General features: G+C 50.6%; 1 protein-coding gene and 1 non-coding gene across 126 annotated transcripts in view, besides 1 other annotated feature; both read right to left on the bottom strand.

Moving 5' to 3' along the window:
• CELF4 (CUGBP Elav-like family member 4) overlaps positions 1-17105 on the bottom strand; it is a 322955-nt gene that overhangs the window by 216039 nt on the left and 89811 nt on the right. The gene's annotated exons all lie outside the window — the stretch shown is intronic.
• Positions 5688-6187: an enhancer, noted in NCBI's record as "H3K4me1 hESC enhancer chr18:35044533-35045032 (GRCh37/hg19 assembly coordinates)". NCBI's record gives its function as "activates a minimal SCP1, AML or CMV promoter by ChIP-STARR-seq in naive H9 embryonic stem cells {active_cell/tissue: H9 hESC(naive)}" and the evidence as "EXISTENCE:reporter gene assay evidence [ECO:0000049][PMID:30033119]".
• On the bottom strand, positions 7457-7622 carry SNORA111 (small nucleolar RNA, H/ACA box 111). The gene has a single exon (NR_132967.1). It is a non-coding gene; the product is annotated as a small nucleolar RNA, H/ACA box 111 (small nucleolar RNA).

Consider the following 17105-nt stretch of genomic DNA (forward strand, 5'->3'; position numbering starts at 1 on the left):
TTTAGAACCAGTTACTCTTTGTAGAATCTATTGTCTTTTGTAGACGCTAAGCTTGCAGGCTGAGCTCATCAGTATCCACAAAGCTTGTTGCTATCTGGAGAGCTTGGCTCTGCTTGCAGAGCCTTCATTTCTTGCAAAGCTTGCCTTGGTCAGAGAACTTGCTGCTACTTGTGAGTCTGACATTGCTTTCCGGGCTCATCGCTGATGACAGAGCCCTGGGACACTTTCTGATTCTACCTCCTATGCCTGGACTACCTGCCTTGTGGTGAATTTTCAAGGATGTGGGGCCATACCACAGGGTTTTAAAGTGTTTTCTTGCGCTCATAGGTTTTTGGATTGAGCTGCTGAGTTCATGCTCCACATCATTCTCTTTGGTCCCAGTTTGTCCCCATGACACTGGCTCCATGCTTAGACTCAGTCATCTCTCTAAAGCCAAAATGCTCTGTGTTCTCTCTCTCCCAGAGTTAATGGTCTGTGTAGGTAACTCTCTCATCTCTTTTGCTCAGAGCTCTTGAACTTCCAGTCAGTTACCTGAATTCTCTTCACCTCTGTCTCAGTAGGATCTTATGTCCTTCCATCTACTCACTCTCTTCTTAGCATGGAGTCCTCACATTTTCATAACCACAGTCATCCACAGGATTCATGGATGTGATGTGCTGGAAGTGGGAGGAATGAGGACTGGACAGCAGTTTGGGTCACACATGAGCTCAACTCCATGAAGCTCACGTGTGACCCAAACTCCTGTCACACATGAGCCTGTGGGCCATGTGACCTTGGCCTCAGAGTCTGGAGGGATGCATGCCGATCTTCAGCAGCTCTGTCTTGCAGCTTTTGCCTTGGGTTGGCTGTGCTCACACTCAGTGGGGAGCGGGTGGAGGTCTTGGCATTTGTTGTGCAAGGTTGTCGTTGGCCATTACTGGAACACCCCAATCTATCCTCATAGACTTTGGACACTCAGCCCCTAACAACACACCAACTTGTTTTTTGTGTGTGTGTGAAGATGCTTTCTTCTAAATACATACGTCCTTGGAAGGCAGAGTTTGAATGGCATGATGTGCAGTTTATCATATTGAAAGACTTTTCAGAAAACCAAAAGGAAAATCAAATAGCAATTCCCAGGTACTTGTTACAAAAACCTAGCAGTTCAAATTCTGAATGGATGGGCAGTATTGGCCAAGGGGGAGGAAGTCGAAGGAATAGACCCAATATCACTGGTGCTTCTTTGGGAAGTTTCCTAAGAATCACCATGGCCCCAGGGCTCGCCATGTCTGAACATGAGTGGGTCTGTGTAGAGATCTTAACCCTAAAAGTTTCTGTACTTAGGAAGTCTGTGATATGAAAACTCAAGTCCAGAGATGATCACCCACTTTATATAAGGAGTTATTCAAATAACTCCCTGGACACATTTAAAATGGAACACGGTCCTCTCTGTAGTCCAACCAGGAACACAGCTCTTATGCTGAGCGAGGGGTTCCTGAATTACCCTTGTTTCTTTTCCAGGAGGTTGCAGCTGAGGACATCGTGCAGCCCAACTACTAACAGTGATGAGGTCTGGATTTTCCTGACTTTCTCTGCTTCTGTGCTATGGAATGGCCAGAAGTTCAGCTTGTGGAACACAGAATGGTCTGCAAGCAAACTCTTTCCTCTCCTTGAAATCTTGCTATTCCTGTCCTTTGTTCTTAGAAGAAACTGAGCTCTAGATATGTCTCACTGTTGGCTTTGTCCACAGGGCCCCAAGGTAAGCACTGCTGCTCAGGAGATAATTCAGAGTGCTAATGGCATACAGATGCATGCGAATTCATGTGCACACACACAAATTAGGCTGCAATTATCACAGGAACTATTTGCTAATGCTGGTTACCATTTGAACCATTACTCAACACTGGTTCCCACAGAAGTCTGGTCACTGTGGCTCAGCATGAGGCCTGCCTCTCTGGCAGTCTTGGAAACTTGGCATCAACACCAAGTAACAGCTGTGGGTTGATTGGATGTGGGAGGTGGGTCTCTTAAGGTTTGCTATGGGAAAGGAAAAAACCTGCTGGAAAATGACACTGAGATTCCATCAAGGGAAGGAAAAACCAGCATCAAAGACAAGGAATGCCATACAATACATCACATGCTAGTGTGGGTGGCCAAGAGTGTTATTCACACAGTGTGTCCATTTCACTCAACAGCTCTTCCCTGCTGTCTATTGCATGCCTGCGGTATGAGAGGCTTGGGAGAAGGTATCTAAGACAGGAGCCACCCCACAGAAGCAACTAGTTCACCACAGGTGTGGAGGCTGATTCCCCATTGAGTCCTATGGGAGTTATCAAGCCCCAGGGTGGAGGCAGGGCTTGAGATTTGCTGTCAAGAGTGCCGTGTTAATCTGTGCTCATGCTGCTAATAAAGACATACCTAAGACTGGGTAATTTATAAAGGAAAGAGGTTTAATTGACTGGCAGTTCAGCATGGCTGGGGAGGCCTCAGGAAACTTATAATCATGGTGGAAGGGGAAGCAAACTCGTTCTTCAAATGTCAGCAGCAAGAAGTGCTGAGCAGAAGAGGGAAAAGCCCCTTATAAAACCATCAGATCTTGTGAGAACTCATTCACTATCACAAGAACAGCATGAGGGGAACCGCCCCCATGATTAAATTACCTCCCACCAGGTCCCTCCCACAACGGGTGGGGATAATGGGAACTACAATTCGAGATGAGATTTGGGTGGGGACACAAAGCCTAACCATATCAGATGGAGTGGATTTTAGTGCTGGTGAAAGGAGGCAAGGCATCTCAGGCAGCCAGAGCTGTCCTGCTAAGCAATGTGGCTGTACGCCAGAATGGTCAGTGGTCACCGAGTCCCAGCAGTAGCTTCTGCTCAGTGAGTGGCTGCCATTTCCCCCTCGTCTTGGCAGCCCTGCAAAGGACCGTATTGTCATGCTCATTTTGCAGATATGGAGGTAGAGGCCAGTGCAGGTAGGAGACTAGCTACAAGGCCACATGGGTGCTCTGGTTGGATTGGAATTAGAAGCTGCGTATGTCTGACTGTTGGTGAGGATGCTGAGAAGGACAAGGCATGATTGGGGGAAAATGGGAGGGTCATAGTGGTACTGTTGAAAGAGCTCCTGGGAGGACCAAGTTTATCTTACCCATGAGGGAAATGTGGCACAGAGACAGTAATTGATACTTGGTCTACAGCAAATGGGTGGCAGAGCAGAGGAGAGTAGGTGATAAGCTTCACCCCACCGTGAGCCCTGCTGACTCCCTGGAGCACCCTGAGAGCTCAGCAGAGGTAGGAGGATGATCTGGGGGTTGCCCCTGTATCCATTTGCCCACCCCTGACCCAGAAAGGCCTCTCTGGCATTGCCTGGAGGTCTCGAGCAGGGAAAAGGAGAAGCTAGCATCACGGTCTCCTGGGGGTATTCAGTAGCCTCCAGAGAGCAGTTTGTCCAGCTTCCCTTTAGGCAGCAAGCTGGGCTTCCCATTGGTGACTCCTGGTGCCACATCTCCTCTCCTCACCCTTGTGTCTGCTCCTCCGGAGGCCTTTCTGTCTGGCTGTCTGTCCACAGGCCCTGCAGGCATTGTCCGATTTTTCTCCCAATCCTTCCCTGGTGGATGCACCCTGAGATCTCTGAGCTGCCAGCTAGGCAGGCTCCTAGCCACCAGAGATTGGAGTCAACAGTGGGGTTGTCAGCATCCATGAGTCGCTGTTGCAGTAGGTGCTGACATCTACTCTTCTATGTTGAAGTGAGAGCTGGGGCCCTCATGTTTGCTGGGAGAGGGGAGTAGGGTTGTTGGAAGATGCTTGCTAGGGCCATGAAGGGAAGTAAAAGGGCAGTGTGCATGATAGATAGACAAGATTTGACTTATTCAAACTTGTCCAACCCCTGGCCCAGCACAAATTTGCAAACTTTCTTAAAACATTATGAGGTTTTTTTTTTTTGCGATTTTTTTCTTTTGGCTCATCAGCTATCATTAGTGTTAGTGTATTTTAGGTGTGGCCCAAGACAATTATTCTTCTTCCAATGTGGCCCAGGGAAGCCAAAAGATTGGGCACCCTTGTTTTAGATAATGCAAGGTGTACCATGTGTAAGAGCCATTTGAAATGCCTGAGTTCTCTGTTGAGCACTCTGTGGACCTGCACTCTGGGGGAACACAGGAGAAGACACAGCTCTTGTCCTCAGGGAGCTCCTTTTCCAGAAGACACAATGAATGCACAGAAGTCCCTAGAGAACCTTCTCCATGAGGACAGGGTCTGATGTGATTTGTAGATGCAAATTGGAAATGTGGCGGCCCTAGTTCAAAAATGATTAAGAATTTCAAGATGATGACTGCAGAGCATTAACCCAAGTGAGGGGCCCTCCTGAGAGTTCAGAGCTTTGTGTGACTGAGCCTCACATGTCCATGGCAGCGGGCATGGCTGCACCAGGCCTGGCTGCAGCAGGTCAGAGAACCAAGAGCCCAGGCAACTCCCCAGAGCCCTTGCTGGGCCCTCAGAGGCACCCGACATATTTGTGGACTGTGTCAGGTAATTCACAAAAAACTCTTTAAGATCTCTCATTTCATGGGGTCCCTACCAAACCCCGTGATCAACTTTGAAATGATTCTTCCCAATTTCCAGAAGTGTATCTCAAGGCCTAGAGAGATTAAACTGTCTTCCTAGGGTCACAAAGGAAGCTATAATTGGAAGTGGAAACAGAAGTCTTTGGACCTGGGCCAAAGGGTCCTGCCTGCCCCTGTTCCCTCCTGGACCCTACGATGCCAGCCCTCCAGGACTGCAGTGCCTTCACCCAGTTGGGCCTGAGATCTTTCTTTGGAGGGAGTTTTCCAGGGCAATGACCACTCTTATTGTCACTGCTCCTCTCCAGCCCCAACCTTGCTCAGTGGGTCCCAGCTCCTGGCCTGCGGCGTCCAGGCCCTCTAAACACTCCTGTCAACCTGGAGGTTTTTTTTCTTACCTTTGTGGGTGTTTTCTAATCTGTCCCCACCCAACTGAGTGTGACATTTTACAGTCATATTCCTACCTCCTGGCAGGGCCATCCAGGGCTGCTAATGAGGCCTTCCTTGGTTTATGGTAATGGCGCCCTCCTGTCCCCTCTCCCTCATGAAGTATACCACACCTGCCACCCGCAGACTCCCAGGCCCCTCCTCCTGACCCCGAACTCAGGCTGCCCTCCCTGAAAGGCCCCCAGCCTTGTGGCGTATTTACAGAAATGCCACACAGCAGAACACCCCAAATCAAATGAACGGTAACGGGAAAGCTGCTAGCTTCTAAATTAGCGGTGCATAATTAGTTTCATGCATAAACCTCTGGAAAGCACGGGGCTCGGGCTGGTGAGAGAGACAATTAGTTTTTGCAAGGATGAAGAAGAAGAGCAGAAAAGGAGTGAAGGAAGGCAGGAAGGTTGGCTGGAGAGGGGTCTGGGCTGAGTGAAATGTAGATCGCATCTGTACAGCCAAGCTCCACACACTGCCTTTCTATCTGGGAGGCCTTTCTGATGCCTCCAGCTCAGGGCTCTTAAAGACTCCCATCGATGCCTAGCCTCTCCCCTCCCACTGTTCTGGCTGCAGAATGACTCAGGCAGCCCTTTCTAGGCCCCTGGCTGGGGCTGCATGGTGGGACACTTGGACCATATGTGAGCCCTCAGGGGAGACATCAGAGCTTTGTCCATTTCTGTCCCATGACTCAGGACTCTGCCTGGGGTGGGCTTGGGTGCCCTGGCTGGCCTGCTGTTTTGGGTGTGGAGGTGTGTTTCTCAGACAGGCTGGCTGAGAATCACAGCCTTTGAATCTCGGAGCCCCTGGCACTCTGTGGGTCATGGAGCAGCCCTGCCAGGGGAGGCATCTCACAGATGGGGAGTGGAGAAGCCCAAATTTTAGCCTGCCCTGGCTGGTTCACAGGGAGCAAGGGCCACAGTGCTATCTTCAGACTTCTAAACTCAGCCAGTTTGGCCCACCCACACTGGCAATGCTGCCCGAAAGGAGACAGAGGAAGAAAGTCCACGCTGATGTTCTCAGATGTTCTCCCGGGATAACTACTTCCTTGTGTGCAATCTCAGCAAATGGACAGGTCTGTGAGGAGTCTCCTTGGGTCTCCTGACTCCTCAGGATGCTGCCATGTGCTGGATCACCATTATCCTGCTTCCGGGAAAGTCTCTTAACCTCCACAGGCCTTACTTAGTTTCCTCACCTATCAATTAAAGAGGGCAATTCCTGTCAACCTTCCTCCAGGCTCTGGGACGGCCAGTGTCTTCAGGTTGGGGAGATGCCTTAGGAAAGCTCTTTGCATGGAGGCCTGCAATCTTTATTGCTTATTATATATTATTTATTTAGTCTTAATTTACAATTGCTTGATTTCCAGAGGATCTTAGTGCCATGGGGACAGAAATGTGCTGCCCAGTCCTCAATAAAGAATGCTTTTCCTGCCATAAATAAACAGAATATCCAATCAACCACCCATCAGATTGCCTGGCCCTGGCACAAACAGAATGTCACTAATGAGACACAACACGCATTAGCTTAATGCTCTTCCAGGGGAAGAAAGCTGGCCCTGAGTGCCAGCCGGGTTATGGTGGAAGATGGGAATGGGCAGCCTCCATGTGGACACTGGGGGAGGGCTCTGTGTACCAGCACCTCAAAGGCCACTGGGCAACCCTCAGAGAGCTGAGGTTTGTCTCAGTGGGGTCACTGCTGCAGGTCTGCTTTGCTTGAAGACAGTGGGGGTTGACTGTGGGCCCACTGTGTGCCCAGAGCTGGGATGGCTCTGTGGGTACCATCAGAGGAGTCTGTGTAGGTTCAGGGAGATAAAATTCATAATATAAAACAGAGTGCAATGTGGATTGGAGCACTGAGCAAAAATAATGTGGTTATGCAGTAAGTGTAATGGAAGGGAATTGGTATGCATGGGGTAGTCAAGAAAGGCTGCATGGAGGAGGAAGACATGAACACCTCCTTCAAGGACAAGCAAGAATTGGGGCAGGGGATGCATTCAGATGAGAGCCACAACATGGGCACAGGAAGGAAAAGAGAGCTCAGTATGCTGGCAGCAGAATCATGGGAGCCCAGAAGCTGGGGTTAGGAATCTGGGCTTTGTTTGATAGCACCAGGGAGCCATGGAGGGTCCTGGAGTGCTGGCAGAGTCAAAGGCCACTGTGGACCACATTTAACCGGGTTCCTTCTTCAGCTCGCCTCTGCCATCCCCCTTTCTAGGCCAGCTGGGATGAGGCTCCACAAGGGGCCAGCTAAGTCGCGCCTGCTCTTTCTGTCTGCTCTTGATCACTGTCAGCTGCCTAAAGCCAAGCGCGAGACAGCAGCCCTCCCCAGCGGAGCTGAGCTCCCTGAAGATAAGATGAATGTCTGCAGGCCACAGAGCTGAGATGTTCCGAAGGAAGTGGAAGAGGAGGAAGAAGGAATAAACACCCATCACATTAATAAGAGTTTGGGAGAAGTGAGGGGCTGAGGCCAGGAGTCTCCAGATGGTGTTTAGTGAAGTGACAGTTTGATGCCTAAAAGGAAAAATGGAACTGTGGTATGCTGGGAGCTTCGATCTTCATGGGGTGGGGGTGGGGATGTGGGCGCATGAAACCTGGTGTGAGGTCTGTACTTATACAAGCCTGACCAGAGCCCATTCTAGGTCCCAGCAGAAAGGGCAGACAACTTCCAGGATGTCTGCTTAGGGACTCCCACAAAGTGGGTCTGGTCCCAAGGGTTCATGTACCCATGCAGCCACCCACAGCATTTCAATAGCCTCACAGCTACTGAGAACTTAGGAGGTCAGCCTTGTGCCAATGCTGGGTCCACATGAATAAGTAGGACCCAGTCCCTGCCCTCAAAGAGAGCACAGTCTAGGGTGGAGCAGTCATGTTAAACTCTGGTAAACTGAGGTAGGCATAGGAAATTCTAGGCATGCAGGAGAGGGCATCTTATCCAGCCTTATCCAGATTGGGGAAGGCTCCCTGGAGAAGGTGGCATGTGAGCTGAGTTTGGAATGCTGGCCAAGGACTGACCTGCTGGAAGGAGCTTGGGGCGGACATAGGAGGATGCCAGGCAAAGGAAACTAGTGGAGCCACTCAGCGGGTGTGGAGCCACATGCTCACGGGTGGGGGAGTCAGAAGCCAGTGTCGTCCCAGATCCTGAGGTCAGAGTGGGAGGCGGTGGGGATTGGGGAGGAGCTAATGATCACAAGATGAGTGACTGAGTCAGTGAAGGGTATTCAGGAGTGTGAGTCTCAGACCCCCACCTGATCCCATCCCTTGTCACTATACGGGTCATTATGGGGTATCAGAAAGCTACTCTGGTTAAAACATTCTCCCTGCCCTGCCTAGTACACTGCCTGACATTCCACATCAGAGTGCCCTCCTTTTAGGTTAAATAGAGTACTTCTACCATCTGTCCTTGTTACAGGACAGGTAACTTGTTAGCAGGCACTTTCTCTGCTCTCACCTGGGGAGAACAGAGATCCCAGAGGGCAAGAGGCCATTTCTGGGATGCAGGCCATGTCTGGAACTCGGCCTTGACCATCCTGCACATGGGCTGGGGCAACTCCACAGCAGGGAGTTTTGGACACCGCCAGAAGAAGGGCGGTGGCTTTACTTGTTAGCAATGGGAGCCACGCACTTGGGAAAGTCGGGCAGAGTCAATGGCCACGTGGACCAGGCTGAGGATGAGGTGGCACAGAGGATGGTATTGGGTGGAGCCCACAGGGGAGCAGGCAGAGGAGGGCAGTGGAGAGAAAAAGGAGAGAGCAAGGGAAGGAGAGTCAAAGAGGAGTCCCAGCCTTCAGAATCCATTCTGTTTCCATTTCCCCCAAGTCACACAGCTGCCAGAGTTCAGACAGATGCTGTGATTAGCATTTTAATGCATTTCAGAGGACCTTGTCCAAACTGCTCTGGAAATCAGAAATCAAGAGTTTATCTTCAGCTGTCCCTAAAGAGCTACATTCTCTTTCAATTCCAAAGGAGTCTGAGAAAGTGTGTGTACCTGTGTGTTCGTGTGCCCACATGTGGACATGTGTAGGATGTCATGTGCCTCTCCCATGTGTGTTATATGTTCACATCACCTGTTATGTACACATACTTTTGTGTGCACCTATATGGCATGTACTCTGTTGTGTGTATGTGCGTGCATGTGTGTGTGTTTGAGTGATGAGTGTGCAGCTGCATCTGTATGTGCGCAAGTACATCTTGCACGTGTGTGCATATTCTACATGGGCCTTTGCAAGTACAATTTTATCCAGGATCGTTCATGTGGAAGAGGGAGAGCTCCATGCTAGTTGAAAACAGGTCAGTACTAAGTGACTCGGGCTGTCAGGGGGCCTGGGCCTTAGAAAATGGGAAATGCATTTCAAATGCGTCTTTGGTTGCTTGGCCTGATCCTGAAGCTGTGTTTCAAACAATGCAGCTCAACGGTATTTCAAGCAAAGTGCATTTCTGGAGTAATAATTCCACTCCCATTGAACAGTGCTGGCCTCAGAGGCCTAGCCTCTGTGAGGGTTTCTGGAGCTCCAGAAGAAGGTTGGGGCAGCTACTAGTGGGTCAGGGCCATGGCAGGGCAGGGGTTGGGAAGCCAGGAGGCTCTCAGGACATCTGTGTGGGGTGAGTCCCCTCTACCTGCCTCCCAAGATTCTCCTCCTGCCACCTCAAGCTGGCCACACCTATATCTGCCAAGGCTGTTTTCTGGAAGATGGATGACATCAGTCATTCAACTAGCTTCAGGAGGAAGGATTTCCTTCTCCTGTTGTGTTAGTCCATTCTCACACTGCTATAAAGACATACCTGAGACTGGGTAATTTATCAAGAAAAGAGGTTTAATTGACTTACAGTTCTGCATGGCTGGGGAGGCCTCAGGAAACTTACAATCATGGTGGCAGGCAAGCAGAGGCAAAGGTACATCTTACATGGCAGCAGGGGAGAGAGAGCGAATGAGCAAAGGAGGAAGAGCCCCTTGTAAAACCATCAGATCTTGTGAGAACTCACTCACTATCACGAGAACAGCATGGGGGAAACCACATCCATGATCCAATCATCTCCTACTAGGTCCCACTCTTGACACGTGGGGATTATGGGTATTATAATTTGAGATGAGATTTGGGTGGGGACACAGAGCCAAACCATATCACCTGTCCTGGCCACCTTCTCTGGACATACTTCTCTAAAAGTGTAGCACTCAGTTCCAGACTCAGATTTCCTGGGGCCATCTTCCCAGCCTAGGGAAAGTGGGATCATCACTTTCCTTCTTTAGAGGGAGGTACCTGTTAACTGCAAGACTGTGTCAACTTTTAGGGAGCAGGGCAACACCATTGGCTCCTTTGGAGTCTGGGGCCAACTAAAATCTAATCTTTAACCCTTGCCTGACTTGCTTACCCCTTCGTGTCATGACGGCAGGGGCATCTACTTGTAGCTGCATGGGGCTCCTCAGAGTCATTCTCTGCTCCTCCTGTATGGCACAGACAGTGATGTGGAGTTGGGGGATGCATCTGCTGGGAGGGGGCCGGGGAAGCAGCAGACAGTTCCATGTGAATTTGTTTAATGTAAATACATCCTCTATTTATCTTTGGCTGTTAATAAATTCATGCATTATTAGAAAATCCCTCATACCAGCAGACCCGCTGAGTTAGATCAGTTCGTTTTAAGAGATTTCCTGTTGGCAGGATTCAAAGCCCACACCTGCAGCCGGCCCAGGCACAAGGATTTAACTAAACGCCACAGATAATTAGATCAGTTAACCTTGCAAATTAAAACAAGCACATCGCATTAGCTCAGTTTATCCTAAAAGAAAATATTAAGTTCCCCCAGATAAATCGTTTAATAAGAATAGAAGAAGATGGCACATACTGTCTTCTCAGAACCTCTGGGCAGGAGTGAGGGAGGGCTCAAACAGTGGCCAGATAGCGGGTTTTCTTCCATTGATTTATCTATCAGTGATGGATCAGGTTCTTGCCCACTGACTTAACAGGAGTTAGAAGAGTTTGAGGAACATCCAGGCACGGTGCAGGCTGGAGCACGCAAACCAACAGCAAAGCTCCATGGGGTCTGAGAGTACTAAGGGGCATCAGTGGGAGGTAGCCCACCTCGCCACTTCATAACGCAGGACAGCCCCCAGTGAATCCCTGGGGGATGGCCAGAGAATGAGGGTTCAAGCCCATCAGGAAAGGCTTTCTGCAAGAACTATGACCCTCTGTGCCTTGGCCACCAGAAGTTCATTGCATCTGTTAGATACTGAATACTTAAGGAGTTCGCTGAAGTCTTTGTAGATTTCAATGCTACCGAGTCAGAATAGAGGGTAATTTGGACTTTAGGTGTAAAGTTGGCCTTTGAAAAATCTATCAAAAATTTTGATTGGCAAATAAGCAGTGTAGACGAAGTTCTATGTGCAGGAATATGTTGTCAACCTAAGACCAGTGTTTGCAAGTGGCTTACGAATCCTCTGTGTCACTTCATCACTGTGCTAGTTACACAGGCTTTGCATCTGTTCATTAAAGCAGTGTTGGACATTAACTTGGAAGCACTGTTGGGTTGTCTACTCAAAAGTAATAAAACTTCACTGAGCACACCCCATAATATGGATGCTAATGGAAATGGGTGTCCTCCCCAGGTCTTCTGAATTAGGGTAGGTTTACTTGGTCATCAATCATGGAGCCTTTTCAAGATAAAGGCCATGTTGCAAATGAGAACAGACCCAAATGTGGCATCCCAGCAGCGCTGTGTCCAACTGTCTAGGCAAGTGATGCTTATGTCCCTTCCCACTCCACTTTTCTGAGGTTCTCTGACCCTCAGGAGGGAAACATAATTGCAGAGTGGGGCCCTCCTCATGGATCAAACTCTTCTAGCCCAAGAGGAGGAATCAGTATTTTCTGACAATGCTGGACAAAGAATAGAGGAGCACACAGGGTTTCTGAAGCTGGAGGAGCAGTGAAATCACCCAGGGAGCATTTGCAACACATGGATCCCAGGCAGATCCTGACTCTTCATGACTCTGTGTGTGTGTGTGTGTGTGTGTGTGTGTGTGTGTGTGTGTGTGTGTGTGTGACAGAGAGAGAGAGAGAGAGAGAGAGAGAGAGGTGGAGCCTCTTTCTTTACATTTATTATAAATCTGAATGTCAAAGAAATCCCTACGTGTGGTAGTGAGATGAGGTGGTTTGGAAACCTCTCCAGCACTGCGTAGCCTGCCCTGAATGGAGACTTTCTCATTCAGGTGCAACAAGTGTTCAAGTGGTCAGGGCAATGCCCTCACCAGCTTCAGGGCAGAGAGGGAGCCAAGTTTCCCTTCAGCCCTCCACCAGCAGGACTTGCCCGAAACCAAGTGAGTAGCTCCTGCCAGCCTGTGCCCATTGAGGCTGCTCCTGGAAAGGGGGACTGAGGCAGGCTCTCCACTGGCCTCAGCTCCTGTTCCTGATGTCACTTCCTCACCTCAGTCCTCTCATCAGGACTGGCACAGGCCTTCACCATCCAGACCATGCTATGTACCATGTGGAGGTGGACACTCTCCTACTCAGGAAGCTTCATGAGCTCCCAAGAACCCAAAGGAAAGGGAACAAGCTCCTCAGTGGGATGTGAAAGGCCTTCCCAACTCATGCTAAGTCCCGTCCCCAAGCCCTTCCTGAACTCCAGCCAGCGCCCCCTGTCCTCTCCCTCCTCCTTGCCTTTGCCCCTGCTGTCACCTCACTGGAGTGACATCTGGAGCCCCCTCCATCCACCTAGATCCTGCCGATCTTGCCCAGGCAGTGTGACACTCAGTGAGCAGTCCTGCCTGGAAGCGCTCCCAAACCACTCCCAGCTCTAAATTGCAGTCTGGAGTCTCGATCCATTGTCCTCTAATTGCTTGGCATGTACATCTTCTCTCCTCCGCAGGAGGGAAGCCCCAGGGGCAGCAGGGTTCTTGCCCTCTACTCACTTCCACCTGCCAAGCAGCACCTAGCGCGGGGCTATGCTCCTGGTGGGTGCTCAGGAAACACTTACTGAATTGAATTACAAACCTTCTCCCAGGCTCTGAGCCGTTCCAGCTGCTGGATGCCAGCTGTCAGGGCTGCTGGGAGAGGCTGAATGCATATTCATTTCAGACCCTCTGTCTCTCGGCCTTGAAGGGCCTCCTGGACCATCTTAATCCATGAGGGTGTCCAGGGCATGACTCTGCTCCTGCTCTCCCTGGTTAGGGTTTTCAATCTTCTGGGTTGTGCTCACCCAGATTCCAGGGGTGCTGCTGTGTTTTGGAGTGAAGAATGGTGAACAGGGAGTGGAGAAGGAGGTATGATGTAGGCCTCATGTGGGGGATTGTGCAAACCATGAAGACAAACTTAACAAACACCTCTTGTGGGGGCATGAAGGTGGTGATCTTGAGCCCTCCTCTTCCAGCACAGCCAGGCCTTGGCAGGGCCAGCTCCAGCGTCCTTATGGACCTGCCTGCCACTCTCACAGTGGTTTCCATTCAGCGTGGTAGGGTTTGTTGGCCCCTCCCTGCGGCCAGCCCTGCACTAGGCTATAAAGCTGGGAGGTTTGCTGCTACGCATCCTGCGTTGGCTGCCCTCCAGACCTGGGCAGCCAGGGGCCGGGGATGGATCAGAAGGGGCCAGGTAGGAAGATTCACTCCTTTCTTGGAGACAGAATCACTGAAGCAAGAGTGGCAGCTGTAGAGAAACTGTCATTGTGCACATTTCCTGTGTGCAAGAGCAGCAGGGTGTTTGGAGCTTTGCATGCTTCATGCTATCCATAAACTGCTCCTGGATGAAAGAACTACTGGCACCCCAGGGCTGAGATGAGAAAACTGAGGCACAGAGAAGTTAAGTGATTAGCCCAAGGTCACACAGCTCAGAGTGGTGGAGCTGGGATTGGAGGCTAGGTTGTTAAATTTAAGGCATGAGCCTGCCCAGCGGCATGGAGGGTTTCGCCTCTAAGGCCTGAAGGTCTTCAGAGAAGGGAGAAATTGGGAGGCCTGAAGGAGAAATGAGGATTACTCCAGGCTAGAGGCTAGGGAATTTGGGACCTAGCCAAACTGGCTGGGGCTGAGGACTGGGACTGGTTCTATGCGGGCATTTATGATGGTTAAGCTAGTAAAACTTAAGATAAAATCATGGGATCTTAACTCGCCCCCCAGAACTGATTTGGTCCAATGTTGGAATTACCTGCATCAACCCCCGAACCCTGCGACTCAGCCTGCTTGAACATGTCTGTGACCAGAGGCTCACTACCTTGTGGGACAGCCCAGGCCACTGGCAGAGGCTATGAGGGAGGGCCTCAGGAGTAGAGGGCAGCACAGGCCAGCCCGTGCTATCCCTGGTCCCCTCCTTCCTGGCTCTCAGCCATGCTGAAGTTTACCAGGAAGGTCAATCCGAGCAGGCTTTGCACAGAGCACCCCTACCTCACCCCACACCCCTTTACAAAAGAGGTCCTGCTTCAGTCTCTGAAAATAAAGTTGGTGCCATTGCTGCTGGCCCTGAAAGCCGGCCGACCCACTTTCAGAGGGTGTGAGACCACTGGTGCAACTGTCAAAAAAGTGGGAGTGAGGAATTGCCTGTGGAATGCCTGTGATGTGGCACAGCTGTCTGCTGGCGTGGCAGCCTTTGATTCTTCAATATTTAAGCCACACACAAAGGCACAGAAGGGCACAAACTCGAGAAAGACACAGAGGACGCAAATATGCTACCTAAGGGTAGCTGAAATTTTATTCCCTTCCCCCTTATGAATCTCACAGAATTGGAAACCATGTCAGTAGCTGGAATAAACATGCAGAGTTAGCAGTGCTGCATGAAGAAGCTCCTCTTGTCCACACCCTAAGACTGCTTTCTTGACTCAGCATCCTCATGGAAGCATCAGGGTGTGATCTAAGCTGAAGGCAAATGCGGCACGTGTGTGGGGGGTGGCTGCTGCTCCAGCCAGCTTGCTCTTCTGTAACCCCTGACCATCTCCACCAGGCTGTGTGAGGGTAGACTCTTCCAGGTCCCACCAATATTATCCGGCCCTTCTCCTTCACTGAAGAAGCACAGATTTGTTCATGGAAGACATGTGCATAGTCTTTGGCAAGATATCCTCTTTCCCAGACTTCCTTGCAGCTAGGGTGGCCCTGTGACATAGCTCTGGCCAATGAGACATACTTAGATGTCTCCTGGAGAGGGGACCTCTTGGAAACCTTTTGCATTCCCGATAGAAGGGACAGAGGCAGCTGGACCTGCTCTGCTTGATGACAGATGCAATGCCCTCCGACAGCAGTGAGAAGGACTCTGTTACGTTGTTGCTGTTGCATGGTTATGTTGCTGAAGCAACACGAGGCCCCAGACTCTGTGATGTGCAAAAAACCCAAAGTGTTATTTGTTGAGGCCACTGCAGCCAAATGAATTTCTAAGTGGAAGGGTGGCCACTTAGAAATTACAATTCAGAGAGGTTAAATGGCTTCCCAAGGGCACACAGTAAGGCTCCAGGCAGAGCTGGGGATGGAATCAGACTCTGCCTTCCATTCAGAACAGGACTTCTCCAATGCAGAGGTAGGCCAGGTGTGTGGTGACACCTCGAGGGCCACTGCCCTGCCCCACAGGGCCCCCTGGGTGTCTAGCAATCATGCCAGAGTCTCCTGCCAGAAGAACCTGGTGTGTGGCCTTGGGGTGACGGGGACGGTTCCTGCCCTCATGCAGCTCTGGCTTTCCACAGGGTTAGTGCCCTAGGATGAGGAGGAAGGAGCATGGGCTCTGGCGCCAGATCTCTCCATGGTTTTCTGGTCTGAGCAAGCCCCTTTGCCTCAGTTTCCTCTTCCATACAATAGCACTAATAAGGCCTGGTTAAGACCTGGGTGATGCTGTCTTAAATAAATGAGATAATATTTGTGAAGTGTCTGGCTGTAGCGAGTACACAGTGATTGGTAGCTGTCATCGGAGTTAGAGAGACAAGATTCTTTGATCTGCTCTCTTATTTGGGATGATGCCACAAGGCTCAATCTGCAGTAGATGTAGGTGGTGTCCTGCCCATGACCCCTTCTCTTCCCCACCTCAGTGACAGTGGGTTGACTTCCAACTGCCAGCACCAGCACTTCCAGCTCGAGGGCTTCCTTTGACTGTGGAGCCCACTTTGCCCACGCATGCAGCAAGCCAGAAAAGCTAGAAAGCGGAAGACCCCTGGGCACAACCTCGGCCACAGCCTGGTGGAAATTGGTGCATGAATACCCCAGTTCTCTGGCCCCTTGGGTGGGATGACTCCAAGGAGTATGATTGACATTGGCTCTAGAGTCCCAGTGGGGTTCAGCAACACCCGCAGTGGAAGCTGGTCTGCCTGATAAGACACCCCTTATTGATTTCCTCTCTTCCTTGTCTCCACTATTGACCCAAGTTCCTGGGGTCAACCCCACAAAGAAGCTATTTGCACTCAAATGCTTGTCTACAGTCTGCTTCTGGGGGCGCTCCAACTAAGACAATATCCTTTAAAGCCTAACATTAGGCCAGTGGTGGTTGAACTTCTTGTGCCCACGAATCTCCTAGGGATCTTGTTAAAGGGTGGTGGCTGCTGTTTGAGTGACATGGCTCAGATGATCTAGAGTAAGCTCAAGACTCTGCATTTCTAACAGACCCCAGTGATGCTGATCTGATGTCCACATTTTAGCCAGGGCTTAGACTTCCGGTGCTGTTGACCTGCAGAGGCTCAGGCAAGGGCGAGATCAGTGTTGGTTAGAGCAACCTAGAGGAGCATCACAGAGGAAGGGAGCTTGGGGCTAGGTCCTGATGCCCTGGGAGGATTCTGGTGGGTAGGCTGGGAGGAGGCAGGTCCTTTCTAGGGAGCGGGGAAGCTGGAGACTTGCTGGGGCCTGAAGCCATGCCCAGCACCTGCAGGATTTCAGAGCAACTGATCTGCATGGAGTTGATTGGAGCCTACAGGCTGTAAGGGGCTAGAGGCTCTGAAGCACAGCAGTGTGAGAAAAGCCTCCTCCATCTCCAGACACATTTTCCCTGTTCTCACTCCCAATTCCAGGAGGAAAATTCACACTGACCTGGCTCCCCAAGCCTTCCTCCTCTTACTCATTTCTCGAGTTCCTCTCCCTTTACATACACAACCAACTTCTGTCCTCCCCACTCCATGGAGTCCTTTCGGGGCATCCCAGCTCTCTTCTGAAATATAATGGGACATATGGTCCAAACTGCATACTTGAGCCA

The sequence above is a fragment of the Homo sapiens genome, chromosome 18 (assembly GCF_000001405.40).
Source record: "Homo sapiens chromosome 18, GRCh38.p14 Primary Assembly".
NCBI classification, from domain to species: Eukaryota; Metazoa; Chordata; class Mammalia; order Primates; family Hominidae; genus Homo; species Homo sapiens.